General features: G+C 38.9%; 2 long non-coding RNA genes across 3 annotated transcripts in view; both read left to right on the forward strand.

Annotated features, from left to right (window-relative positions):
* LOC105378208 (uncharacterized) overlaps positions 1 to 11,134 on the forward strand; it is a 28,809-nt gene extending 17,675 nt beyond the window's left edge. Inside the window, exon 5 of one of the 2 annotated variants that reach the window (XR_944374.4) lies at positions 9,997 to 10,762. This is a non-coding gene — a long non-coding RNA (uncharacterized LOC105378208). Of the gene's footprint in view, positions 1 to 9,996 lie in introns of both variants that reach the window. The other variant, XR_944373.4, reaches the window with a different exon arrangement.
* A 1,170-nt stretch (positions 11,135 to 12,304) lies between these two features.
* The window catches only part of LOC105378209 (uncharacterized), a 37,122-nt gene continuing 35,062 nt past the window's right edge, over positions 12,305 to 14,364 (forward strand). The window contains exon 1 of the long non-coding RNA XR_944375.1: positions 12,305 to 12,392. This is a non-coding gene — a long non-coding RNA (uncharacterized LOC105378209). The remainder of the gene's footprint in view (positions 12,393 to 14,364) is intronic.

Here is a 14,364-nt window from a genome sequence, read left to right on the forward strand (position 1 = left end):
TCTTCCTTTTTTATGACTGAATAATATTTCATTGTGTGTATATATGCCACATTTTCTTTATCCAGTCATCCACTGATGGACACTTAGGTTGTTTCTATATCTTGGCTATTGTGAATAGTGTTGCAGTGAACATGGGAATGTAGATGGTTCTGAGATACTGATTTTCTTTCCTCCAGATATATGCTCAGAAGTGGGATTGCTAGATCATACAGTAGTTGTAGTTTTACTTTTCTGAGAAACTTCTGTACTATTTTTCACAGTGGCTGTACCAATTTACATCCTCCCAACAATGTTCAAAGGTACCGTTTTCTCCACCTCCTTGCCAACATTTGTTAGTTCTTGTCTTTTTGATAATAGTCAACCTATCAGGTATGAGGTGATACCTCATTTCAGTTTTGATTTGCATTTCCCTGATGATTAGTGATGCTGAGTACTTTTCATGTACCTATTGGCCATTTGTAATATTTTTTGGAAAAATACTTTTTTTTTTGAGATGGAGTCTTGCTCTGTTGCACAGGCTGGAGTGCAGTGGCGCGATCTCTGCTCACTGCAACCTTGGCCTCCTGGGTTCAAGTGATTCTCCTGCCTCAGCCTCCTGAGTAGCTGGGACTGCAGGTGCATGCCACCACACTGCGCTAATTTTTGTATTTTTAGTAGTGACGGGATTTCACCATGTTGGTAAGGCTGGTCTCAAACTCCTGACCTCGTGATCCACCCGCCTTGGCCTCCCAAAGTGCTGGGATTACAGGCATGAGCCACCGCACCCGGCCTGGAAAAATAATCTTATCTTTACTGCTTCTTTTCTTCTACTATACTTTCCTTTATTTACCTAGCAACCAAAGTAGTTAGGTATATAACTTACAGCGTTTCTTATTTTTCTAATGTAAGCATCACACTTTCCTTTAGCTGCTGCTTTAGTAGTTATTGTTGTCAGGGATTTTAGTTCTATCCTGACTTTTTAAATTTCATGAATTAGGCATTTTTCCTTTGCTTTCAGTTATGCAGTAATACTATATGTTATGTCTAAGGATGTATTTTTTTTTCCATTTGTTCTTTCTCCTCTTCCCTATTTCTCCATTTGGAATTTCTAAATTTGAATTGTTTTATCAATTTTAGAAAATTCTAAGCCCTTTTACTTTTCAAATATTTTTGCCCTTTCATTCTCTCTATGAGCTCCTTCTGTAACTCTAATAAAATGTATATTAGATTCCATTAGTTTCCTTTGTCTCTTATCCTTTCTTTTAATATAATTTTTTTCTTTATGCTTCTTTCTGGATATTTTCTTTTGTTCTCTCTTCCACTTCATTGATTGTCTCTTTAGTTGTGTATAATCTGCTTTCTAATCTCTTCTTGAATTTCTAATTTTGATTTTTATGTTCTCATTTCTAGAAAGTGTTTTTTTTTATATCTGCCTAATATAGTTTGATAGTTTCTAATTTCTTTGTTATAATTTTAGTGCCCTCTTTCTTTCAATATTTCTTCAAGGCTTTTTATGTTTTGTAAGATATTTTGAATGTAAGTAGACTTATTGGTCTGATTCTATAGTTTGTAGTTTTGACCATCTCTTGCTCATGGTGGTTTACTTCAAGTGTTTATTTTTGATGGTGAATTCATTTTTTTTTGCAAAGACATCTGTGAGATGTTTTTGAGGCTTGTGTTTGAAATAAATTTTTTTTCCAAGAGGATTTGTGTTGGCAGAAGCAGATTTGGGGGAACTCCTGACCCCATATTATTTTAAATTTCCTTACCCTCCCTTACCCCTCCTCTTCCTCCTTCTTTTTCTTGCCACAAAGATTTTATAAATTATCACCCCCAAACTGTGTTTGCAGTACTATATACCTTAGGAATTCTCAGAAAGACACTCTCTCTCCTTTTTTAATACACCACCTAAACCCTTAATCCAAGCAGGCATTTATTTCCATAAGCTCCCTCTGTAGGATGGTTTTTTTTTTTTTTTTTTGGAACAGTGAGGTGTGATCTCTGAGTTCTATGACTTCATGAATAGTCTCTGATCTGGTGTCTTACTCTGTCTGCTTAGATTTCAGGATTTACCTCCTATCTCTCAGAAGAAAGGGCTTTTAAAATTTAGATTCAAAGTCACCAGAAATTGGCAAATTATGCTATTGCAAATGCTACTCTAGTGCTTACTAACCTCTATGGAATTATATTTTTGGCCTCCAGAGAATTCCCTACATTTGTGCCAGCTCAACATACATATGTGTGTGTGTGTATTTGTGGGTGTGCATATTTGTGTGTGTGCACACAGTTGCATGTACGTGCAACACTTTTAGGCATGCTGTATCAGAAAGGGGTTCTCTAAATATCTAGTCTACTTTTGACTCAAAACAGAAGTCTTTACTCAGATGGTTTTAATGTTGTTTGGGATTGTTTAACCCAAAGTTTCATCGGATCATGCCTTACTCAAAAGCCTCCAGTAACTTTCCATCACACTTAGCATGATATCCAAAGTCCTACTCATGGCCTGCAAAGTCTGGCAAAATCTGACTTCTGCTACCTCTCCAACCTCATCTTCTCTTCCTTTCTTTCTCACTGATTTAAATATACTGGCTTCCTTGCTGTTCCTTGACTATGGCCACACATGCCTGCTGATGCCTCTGGCACTTTGTGCTACCCTCCTCTCTATCTGGAACTGTCTCCAAATATTCATACGCCTTACACTGCCATTCCATTTTGGTCTCTTACTTGAGTGTCACCTTTTCTGAGATATCTTTTACCCTTTGTAAAATTACATCCCTCATCACTCTCTCTTCTCTTTTTCTTCATAGCACGTAACATACTATATATCTGTTTATTTATGTATTTAATCACACCATTAAAGCTTGCCTGCCTTGTTCACTGCTGCATTCCTATTGCTTACAGCAGTACTGAACATATAGTAAGTACTCAAATATTTGTTGAATGCATCATTATCATTTTAATACAAAAATGAGTTATTCCCTTTTATTAAGGGAGCTGTTTTCTGGGACATGTGGCTTTGAAACTAATGCTAAAAGAATATCCTGTAACACATGGAATCATTTATTTTTATTAACAAGTCAATTCAGTTTTTTTGCAAAATGCACAATTCCCAAGCAGCTGCTTAAAAACGAGACAATTCATTTCCAAGATGTTTCCTGCAAGTACCGTTGATGGTGCTAAATATTTATTAAGTGCCAGTGTGCTAAATTAGGTGCTGGTGGACAGTGACCACATTTTAGTCCAGCCCAGTGGGTCCAGAGAACACAAGGAGGGAAGATGTGGAGTTGGCCTGGTCCCCTTCCTCAGAGCCCTCAGGATTCACTTCCCAGATGAGGGGAGGTGATTTTAGAGAAGGTGTAATTATTATGTGTTAAGTGTTACAATGGCCCCAAGTGTTCAGGTAATTTAGATAAGAAAGTAGAAGGGGACCTTCTCCTGGGTGACTTGGTTGTTCCTGAAATGATTAGGTGCTCCTAAGTTTTAACTGAACTGGCTCAATAAAGAGTTGTTCAAATACGTTTTTGGGTCTGTGCTTTAACAATTGCTCTCTCACTTCCTTTAATTCCTCTGATTCCTGATTTAGCTTGAGCCATAGTTGCCTGTTCATGGCCAACTGTAGGTCATCCTCCTAGGTTCTAGTGATGTTTTCTATCGTCTTGATATTACTGCATAAATTTCCTAAATCCCCAATTACCTGCTGACCTTAGTCCTCAATTTCTCAACCATTTCCTTGAAAACACACTGAGCCTTCATAAATATGGTATTTTAGCATTGTGTTTTAACTAAAACTGGTATGTTAGTATCATCCTGTTGCTTCTTTGTGGTAAGTCCAGCTCTACCATCTGCCGTCTTTGTCAGCCATTGTGGGTCAGAATTGTCCACAGAGGCTTAAATGAGTGGCAGGAGGAAGCCATTCATGTGAGGTAACAACCCACAATGTAGAAGCACATGCAGCTCAGTGGGACTCAGTGGGGCACTTCTTGGCTGAGAAGGCTGTGTGGTATAGAGAACTTACTGGCTGAGGCTGGGCATGCTGTTTCTAGTACTGGTTTGAGGTTAAAAGTATATATAAGCTATATACAGCAGTGGACTGTGTTATCTATTTATTTAGGAACTGTTTGAGACAGTATTATACAAAATTCGTACTATACGGGGAGACTTTAATCACAATAGGCACTTACTAGATGGAATTCTGTAACACAACTGACTCTAGCTGTGGTCATGCACAAATGAGCATGATGGGCTTTTAACATTTGGTGTATTGTAAGACTATGGGCACAGCTTGTCCTTTAAAGATGTCTGCCTACAAAGGATATTTATATACTATGTATACACGTATAAACATATGTTACAGATATGTGTAAATTTTGTAAAAATCCAATTTAATTTAATAACAATTTACTGAGCACCCACTATGTCCAGACACTTTTCTTAAATACAAAGGTCGATCAGAAATAGATCCTGCCCTCAAGGAGTTTAGTGCCATCAAATGAAATACAGACTTATTCCCTCACTCCTTCCTGGCAAGGGTGGGTACAGTTTCCAAGACCCAAGAGGCGTTAAACCATTCATTTATTGCTTTAGCAATCACATTACTTTCTAAAGTTGTCATTTGGCTTGGGTTGGGTGGTAAGATACAGTTTGTTTTTTTCTCCTACTTTTTTTTTCAATAAGCTTTCAACTAAACCAAAAAACCCAAAAAACCCTAAACGTTGCAACTAATTTCAATAAATTATCGTTTAAGGTTTCTTCTATTTTGGCATATAACGTGGAAACTATTTTTATTATGTGAAGAGAACGACAGCTTAGTATTAAGTGTTTAAACTAGACTCAACCCAGGTTGGTTTTATTCATGAAATATTACAAATAGTTAATAAAAGCCGGGGAGAGGGAGAACAAAAAATGCAGTTGAAACAATGAGTAATATGTCAATGAACTGATGACACTTCTCATGTCCTAAAGATAGTTTTCGAAGGTGGAATATGAACTGAGAAACACATTTAGCATAAACGAATCTCTCTAATCTCTTCCTTTGTATAATGACCTTTCATTCACTCAATAAACAATGAGGACTGACTATGTGCCAGGCATTTTGCTAGGCACAGAGGAAATGGGAATAAACTAGCTATAGTCCCTGTCTTCAAGGAACACATAATTTAACTGGGGGAGCTAAGTGTGTAAACACATATGTATGGGAGGTGAGGGACTTCTAAAACTTAAATATGCCCATATGCAAAGCTATGACTGGTCAGAATTTTTATCTCCGTATCATGGACACTAAGATTTTTTTTAATCTTGTTCATGGCATTTCATATTAGTCACCTACTCCATTTGGCAAAGCAGAGTACATGTCATAGACTTGAATTCTGGTCAGAGTCCTGCCAACTTCTAGCTGAGTGGCCTTTGGCTAGTCATACCATCTCTCTGAGAATATTGCCTCATCTGACAAAAATGGAGTAGGTTTACCGCAGGAGGATGTTGATATGAGAAAGTACTTTACAAAATGAGAAGTGCTGTAGGGTATGGCTGCATTCTTACAGCTGATGTTTCATCTGGATGATCTCTAAATTTTCCAGTTTCCCATCTTGCACTTCCAATAGACCAAGGAGTCCATGGATTAATAGTTGGCTTCCAAGGTTAGGATTCTAGCTGAGATCATTTGTAAAGTTTTGGGTATATATGCAGATGCATATTTTTCTAGTTCCTCAGGTTTCATCAGATTCTTAAAGGGGTCCATGGCTGTAAAAGAACCCAAGACTACTAATCTAGACAGTCTCGGAGTTTTTTGTGGGGTGCAGAGAGTGCCTTGTTTATCTTTATATCCCAATACTTATATCATAATGCCCTGTGCAAAGTAAGGGCTCCTAAATTTGTTACATTAATAAATATCAAAATGGATAAGTGCTATGATGACAAATATTAACATTCAAAACAAGTCTGGCCTCATCCCAGGGATGAAACATTGAATTCTGATGAAGCCTGTCATTGGTTGTCACACAGGGAGAGGTGCCAAATTCAGACTTCTTTCCTTATGTTTTCAACCAACTTGGGGAAGCTCCTTCTCTGCTCTTTCTTGAATTTGCGGATGGTTTTGTTCGTTTGACTGTGTCAAGGCTGAAGGTCACTCAGTCATACAGGCCTCCTACAGACTCTTTTCTGAGCACATGGGAAGGATCTGGTGAACACACGCATCCCGCTGGAGAGGGCTTGTTTGAAAAGCTGAGCAACTTTGGAGGAGTAGACACAAACCTTTCAGGCATTTGCTTATGTCTACTCTGACTAAATGTTTCTTACACAAATGCAAATATTCTAGTACTAAGACTTTCTTGCACAACTACTTGAGATTGTAAAGTCTATATATGTGCCTCAAACATAAACATTATTGCAACAGGTTAGGAGATTGGCCTGTCAAATTGCATCACAACTGGAGGCAAAGTGCAAGGTTGTCCATTGCATCATGATAGCAATATTGAAAAGCTGAAAAACAATCTAAGTGTCCATCAAAAGGAGGCTTGCTAAAATAATTATCATATAACTTAACAATGGAATGTCAGTAACCCATTCAACAGAGTGAAGTAGTGTAACGTTCAGTATTTCATTGTACAATAAACAATGATTTTTTTAAGTGAAAAGTTTATTGCTTTTAAAACACCTTTTATTTTAAAATATTTGTGTACTCACTAGATGTTAAAAAATAATACAATAATCCTACGTATCTTTTACCAAGCCTCCTTCTATGGTACATTTAAAATATATCTTAAAGAAAAATATAATAGGTTGCAGAATGGAAAATATGGTAGGATCCTATTTATGTAAAAATAAAAGTATGGCCGGGCGCGGTGGCTCACGCCTGTAATCCCAGCACTTTGGGAGGCCGAGGCGGGCGGATCACGAGGTCAGGAGATCGAGACCATCCCGGCTAAAACGGTGAAACCCCGTCTCTACTAAAAATACAAAAAATTAGCCGGGCGTAGTGGCGGGCGCCTGTAGTCCCAGCTACTCGGGAGGCTGAGGCAGGAGAATGGCGTGAACCCGGGAGGTGGAGCTTGCAGTGAGCGGAGATCCCGCCACTGCACTCCAGCCTGGGCGACAGAGCGAGACTCCGTCTCAAAAAAAAAAAAAAATAAAAAATAAAAGTATACCAAACTGTTGACACTGGATATCTCTGTGGAATGGAAAATAACATGCAGCAGGAAAAGGAGGAAAATGAGAGATTTTAATTTTTTTCAAGACTGAGTCTCTCTCTGTCACCCAGGCTGGAGTGCAGTTGCGCGATCTCAGCTCACTGTAACCTCCACCTCCCGGGTTCAAGTGGTTCTCCTGCTTCAGCCTCCTGAGTAGCTGGGACTACAGGCACACACCACCACACTTGGCTAATTTTTTGTATTTTTAGTGGAGACGGGGTGTCACCATGTTGGTCAGGCTGGTCTCGAACTCCTGACCTCGTGATCCGCCCCTCTTGGCCTCCCAAAGTGCTGGGACTACAGATGTGAGCCACCATGCCCAGCCTTAATTTTCTTAATTTATAAATATCTATACTATTTAATGTTGCTGTCATTATCTACATATTTATATAGATGCCTATATATCTATATGCAGATATAAATACATACTTCAAAAAGGAAGTATTACTTTTATTTAGAAAAATACCTCAAATAGCAAATTTAGGAGAATAATTTCTATGATGGCAAATCCAGGCTCTAAAAAATTAGTTATTCTCAGCTTGACAGATTTTTTTTTTTAAAAAGGAAGCTATGATGCAGGACTATATTATGAACATTTGATGCCTATTGTCCTAGAACTCAACACTGCAGTGCTTAGACAATATGTCCTGTAAGACGGTACTGTTTGTGAACTACAAGATATATTTTCCATGATTCCATGGATTGTTGGACCCTGTAGCCAAGACTAGAACACATACTTGGAATCCAAAGTATAAGGTAATTCTAAAAGGCCTTGGTTTCTGTATTATAAATATAACTGTACTAGCAGAATTATGTTTTGACCATTTCTCCCTAAGCCACCATTGAATGGGCAGGAACCACTGAGAGCTAGAACTCAAATCTGGCCTTGGTATGCAATCTTGACTATTTTAAGCTCTCTGATTCCCCATGTGCCTTTTATCAACCTTTCTCCATTCTGCAACTATTTTAATTATCTGGTACATGATCAAAAATGCATTCTCAGCTGTATTGTACCAGTCAGTAGTGGGTGACAAGGCCTTCCCACAGCATTTATCTTTAAGCTTCAGCATACGTATTTGTACTCTTCATCCTATCTATTTGGAGTGGTCTCAAATTCCACAGGCTACTCCACGGTGTGGAGGTGGAGCAGGAAGAGGAAAATGAAGAAGGCAACTGCTGCTGGGTGTGTAACATAATACCCAATAGGTCACTGCTGATGTATTTAAACATTTATTTGTTGAGTAATTTATCTCTGGCACATTAGGAGATTGTTAATGGTGTTAGAGAGGAGTAATTGCTATTTCTGTGATTAAGTTGAAAGGAACACAGACGCATAGTTAACAAGACACAGTATTTATATGATATTTGTAAGTCATATAAATAGATTTTTCCTTGAATGGTAACCAAAGGCACATGAATCATTCATGGTGTTTATGTGACTGAATGAATGCTGATTTCTTAAGCAGAATTAGCAAAGAAGTTGATTCATATGAAGAATACTGTCATTTCTACTTCCTGTTTAATAGAATAGCCTGAATTAAAGAGAACAGAAAAATTCCCTCTGCAAGTTACATTAGTAACATTCTCATTCCCTGAAAGACACACACAGACATGCATACACACATACACTCATGTTTATTAATTCATGCATGCATGCATCCATCCATTTTCTCACTCAATTTTAATTGCAAGCCAGTTATGTGCCAGATTCTATGTGCCAAGCTGAGGAGATGATGGTGAGCAAAAACAGATCCAGTCTCTCTTCTTATAGGGTGTAAAAAATCTATGGTAAATAATGCCATTAATTAAAAACTACCCAAATGATTATATATTAATAATTACCAATGGAGTCAAGTGCTCTAATGGAAAAGAATAAGTTCTATGAGAATATGTAAGACCAGATACCTGATTTAACGTGGGAGGGTCAGGGTAGGCTTCCCTGCACATGTGGTGCTTGTGTGGAGATCTGAAGGATGACTAGTAGTGCTGGGTAGGAGAGGATTTGTGCTTGATGAGTGTGTGGGGTTTGTGAGTATGTTTGTGTGTGTGTGGTGTGAGTTGTCCAACACTCAGAACTATATGTATGAAGGCTCTGGGGTGGGAGGGAAGATGAATGTGTCAAGGATTGAAAAAAAATGACAGGTAGATGAACTGCAGAGAGAGAGGGTCAAGTGATTAAGAATGAAACCAGAAAAAACAGGACCCAAAACATGCAGGACATTGGAAGCCAGAGCAAGAAATACAACTTTGAAGAAACATGATCAAATACACTCCCTTCTCCCATCCGTAACATACATTATACACAAAATGAACAAAAAGGAAACACATGTCCAAAAGACACTGGGGAACTGTGTTATATTTTAAACAGTAGTATAATAAAACTGTCCCATATTCGTATTCAGGGTCCTGTATACAACCATGCCAGAAAAACTCCCAAAGAGATTTAATAAAATGAAACACATTTATTTTCATGGTCCCTTCATTGAGCTCTTTATGAAACTGAGACAATTACACGTATATGACCACCTTGCAGACATCAGGAAAGTACAGAATTCCCAGCTGGGTCCATAAGGCTGTACTACTTGACAGTGCCTGGTTTAGGCTTTCATTGTATTTATAGAGCTACTAGAAACTCACACACTGGAGACAAATGGGAACAATCAATAGAAGCTGGATACTTTGCACATTGAGTTATAACAATGGTAATTAATGTGGACATTTCTGGGACCCCCAGAACAGTAACTTTGGTGTAAGAGAGGCTGCTTACCCTATTATTTGACTCCCAAAGAATTTTGATGATTACGGTGTATCTTATGTGTCTACCACTTTGCAGAAGCATTTGGCCTGAGAAGATACCACACCCTCTCCATCGTTTTCATAAGAATTGCCTACCATCTACAGATGAACCCACCCAAGCAAAGCCAGCATGCTCTGCATAGGAAGCCTGAGATGATGGAGTCCACATGCTGTTTATTTAGTCATCATAGCTTTATGACTTGAAAATGTTGACAGAGACATGCATCTACCAGTCACCATGGCAGGGATTCAATAGCCCACTGTGCCACAGAGGGCATGCCTTGGATGTAGAGAGTGAAGACTTTCCACAACTTGTGAATGAGCCCTCTGTGAGTTTAGCCAAAACATTCATGTCAAAGAAATGGAAATCTCAAATAAAACCCATCGCAGGCCAAGCTCAGGAGGGCTGGCTAGCCAACAAATCCTGAACAAGGGGGTTCAAGGGAAAAGGAAAACATGTGTTTCATAGGCATGTATGAAAATAATCTTTTCTTCTATAGCTTTTGAAATGAGGATAATGAAATATCAGTTGGTCTTTGAGGATGATGAAAGGAATATTTTTTGTAAGTTATAAAACAATAGCGTCTGCCTTTAGCAAGTAATCTCAAGAGAGTCACTTTCAGAGTCCAGACTGGAAGAACACTTAACTTCAAAATAGCTCTTTACAAATACTAATCAGATGGTCCACAAAACTCTCTGCCATATGAAAGTTATCTTAACCCAAGTAGGGAAGTCACAGATAGCTGTAAATATCTGTGTGCCTAGCTCTGTGTTAGAAGCAATGGTGAATGTGTGTGTGTGGGATGGGGTGGAGTCAGTGGGTATGTGTAGGTGTGTTGGTGGGTGGAGAAAGGCTGCATTCATTTAGGTGCAGGAAAAGGCTTTTTTTTTTTTCTGACCAATTAGGTTTTTGACTGAATGGACCAAACTGACTGTTGTGGTGTCATGGAAACCTAGCCATGGAAACCTTATAGAAATATCAGGAGCTGAAGGGAGGGAGTGTTGAAGAAAGCATCACAGAGAGATTGCTACCAACTGATTCCCATAGATACTATAAAAATAACTCCTTTTATCTTCCCATTTTCAGTGAGAGAATCTCGCTATTTGGAAAATCATGCTTGCTATTCTGCAGCTTTTCTGTACAGATAACTAATAAACAACTTGGAAAACACTCACTCATCTCAAATGGAACTGAATTGAATCAGATGTTCAGTTTGGAGGGCTGAGGGAATGAAACTTACCTTTATATCTAATGCAGGCCCCCAGCCTTCATAACTAGTACATCAGCAAGTCCTATTAATTTTATGTCATAAACAGATCTTGAATCCACCTCTCTTTACCCTTACCACCAAACTACAACATTTATCACCCCTCCCAGTCCCCAAAGTCCCCTCTTATATGTTTTCATGGCACTCTATGCTTTTTTCAAAGCACTACCCTTTACATGTTCATTTATGTGATTACCACATTCATTTGTTGTTTTATTAATTCATTCACTTATTCATTCAACAAATATTTATTGAGGGCCTGCTCTGGGCCAAACACTGTTTCAGCGACTATTGACACAATAGTGAAAAAAATAGACAAGCTTCCTACTCCCATGGAGCTGACATTTGAATGGGCACAGACAGGTATAAGCAAATAAGTAACAAATAAGAACAATGCCTACTGTCTAATTGGGAAGACAGACATTCAATCCATTATTCCCTCAGCACCCAGTATGAACTTCAAACACAAATCAGACCAGGTCAATCTCTGCTGAAATCCTTTCTATGGCTTCCTATTGCACTTAGAATAATATGCAACCTCCAAACATAACCTAATCATGTTCAGCCATTGAAGGTAGTATCTTGGTTTTAAAATATCATTAAGTAAACAAAGAAGGTATTAGGCCTACTTCATGAAAAGCAAATGAACTCTCAAAGGAATGGGTGTCCTCCTTAACACCTTCATTTTCAACATCTGCAATGCATGAGTTGCATTTTGTTTTATGGCATTTTTTTCTATTTATACTCAAATAGATAATTTTTAAAAAGGTTAGTTTGATTATCATACCATCTCTTAGAAAACTGTTATTTGATGAGTTATGTGACCTCCCCAAGCTTTAGTTTTCTCCTATATGAAGTGGGGATGGTCATATTTTATATCATACATTTGCTTTGGTGATTAAGTGAACCAAAGGGCATAATACCTGAAACAAAATAAATGTTTAATTAGATGTTTTTCCCTTTGAGCAAATGAATCAGCACTCATCATTATTGCTGTAAATAAACAAACTTACTGACATGGGAATGAGAATGTCACTGAAATGAAAATAACATAATTGTTTACTTCACAGCAGGGTGATGGTTGGGGCAAGAAGGCATCTGCAGCCTGGGTCACTGGTAACCTGTCGTAGTGACTGAGCTGACACCAAGCCTTGCTCTGAAGCAGGTATTTTTATGCAGTTAACCTTCTCTGGGCTGGTGATTATGCAACATGTTTGTTCCCTGAGCACACATTGTTCTCAGGCGGCCGGCACGGTCACTAAAAATCCTACCTGTTTTAGAATCTTCCTATTAGTAAATACCAGGCAATGTCACTAAAAAGGCTTACAGGCTGAGAAGAGGAACTGAACAAATCTTGGAGCCAAGATGCATCTCCTTTTCAGGTGGTACTTCTCCAGGGAACGATGTCCTTATCTGTGAGACCTTGAACTGAATGTAAGCTCATCCCCCATCATTTACCCCTGAATAGCCTCACTCCTACAGACCTGCTCTTTAACCGCTTTTATAGCTTCATCAACTTTTTCTGATCGTAAAATAGAATATATAGCAAGAAGAAAGAATAAAGATCACTAGTCATTCTACCCTCTCTCTACCTCCAAATAACAACATAACTTTGGTTGACATTTGATTATAGCCTTCCAGGATTTTCCCCCTATTTCTCTATATAGACATATTAACTGGTTTAAGAGCATGGACTGTGGAATAAGACTTCCTGGCTTAAATCCCAGCTGTGTAACTTATTAGCTATGGAGCCTAAGGGAAATTACTTTTAGCTTCTCTGCCTCAGTTTCTTCACCTATAAAATAGAAATATTCCTGGAGTATTGTGAGGATGGGTAATACATATAAAATGGTTTGAACAGTGTCCACTAGGCACTCAATAAATGCTATCTAGATGTATAATTATATGTAAAAGTTGAATAAGGAACACTTAACTATGTGACTTAGGAAAGAGAAGAAGAATGTCTCTACTTCACAGCTGATTTCCCCAAATAAATAGTCGGTACACAAGAAACATTTGTTCAATGAATGACAGTGTGAACCCATAAATGAACTGATAAAACATGGACGAGTGGATAAATGATGAGAATGGATCAATGTAGTGTAAATGCAGAGGAGCCCAATGGAAAATTTCTGGCTGAGGAGAATCTGTGGATCTTGGTGATTTTTCTAGGAATATTTGTAAGACTTCCATTAGGCACTTGAGGACTTCTTGGTGGGAAGAATAGAAACCCACAGAATTACTCTGGATTGCAGGGGGACGAAGGGAACTGAATTGTTCAGCGGGACTGTAACTGACAGTGGAGCTCCTGGTTTCCTTTGTTGTCAGATCTCCTCCTACTGCTCAAACACCATGCTTACCTTTCTGCGGGGAGCGGAAGGCTCCGTTCCTGAGTCTCCCTCCTACTTCTCCACGTGCTTAGGAAGAAGATCCTGATCAGCAAATGCTAGAACTCTTCTCTGAGTCCCAGAACCTCATTACCTGCTGGGTTTACTTGGGTTTATTTATAGACTTGAAGAAATAACAGAAGTCAGTCACTCATCATGAGGTTTCCGAAAAATCTCTTCAGAACTTCTCCAGGCAAAGTGCCCCATCTTACCTCCCAACTCAGACCAGGGAAATGTATCTAGTTGATAAGCAACTCTAAGCTCTTGGTGAAAGGCAGCACTCTGGAATGAACCAAATGTTAGTATTTTCCATCATGGAGTTCTTAGAAGAGAGGAGTCTCAAGGGGCCTTGAAGAGGGGGTGTGAAGGGGTGTGTGTCCTGTTAATGCATGGTAGAATGGGCTGAGAGCCTGTCTGAGGCCTGGCATAACACAGGGTGGTTTCACACATGGCTCATGGTGAGGCCTGTCTTCCACCCTCGTCGAATATCATTACATCACTCTTTTCCAGTTACAGGAAATCCAGTGAGTGCTGGCCATAGTATTTCCCTGAGATCCAAAGCAAACAAACCCGCCTCTCCTCAGTCCCAGAGGCTGACGACATGTGAAGGAAAAGCCAATTCATAGTATGTTTCTGTTGGGCCTGAGCAGCTGAGGGTGAACCCACTGGGCAGGCAGACAGTGGGCAGCTTTCTAAGCACATATACAGCCAGAAAGCAGGGACGCACATGCCCATCTTTTTCTTTTTTTC

The sequence above is a fragment of the Homo sapiens genome, chromosome 5 (genome assembly GCF_000001405.40).
Source record: "Homo sapiens chromosome 5, GRCh38.p14 Primary Assembly".
NCBI classification, from domain to species: Eukaryota; Metazoa; Chordata; class Mammalia; order Primates; family Hominidae; genus Homo; species Homo sapiens.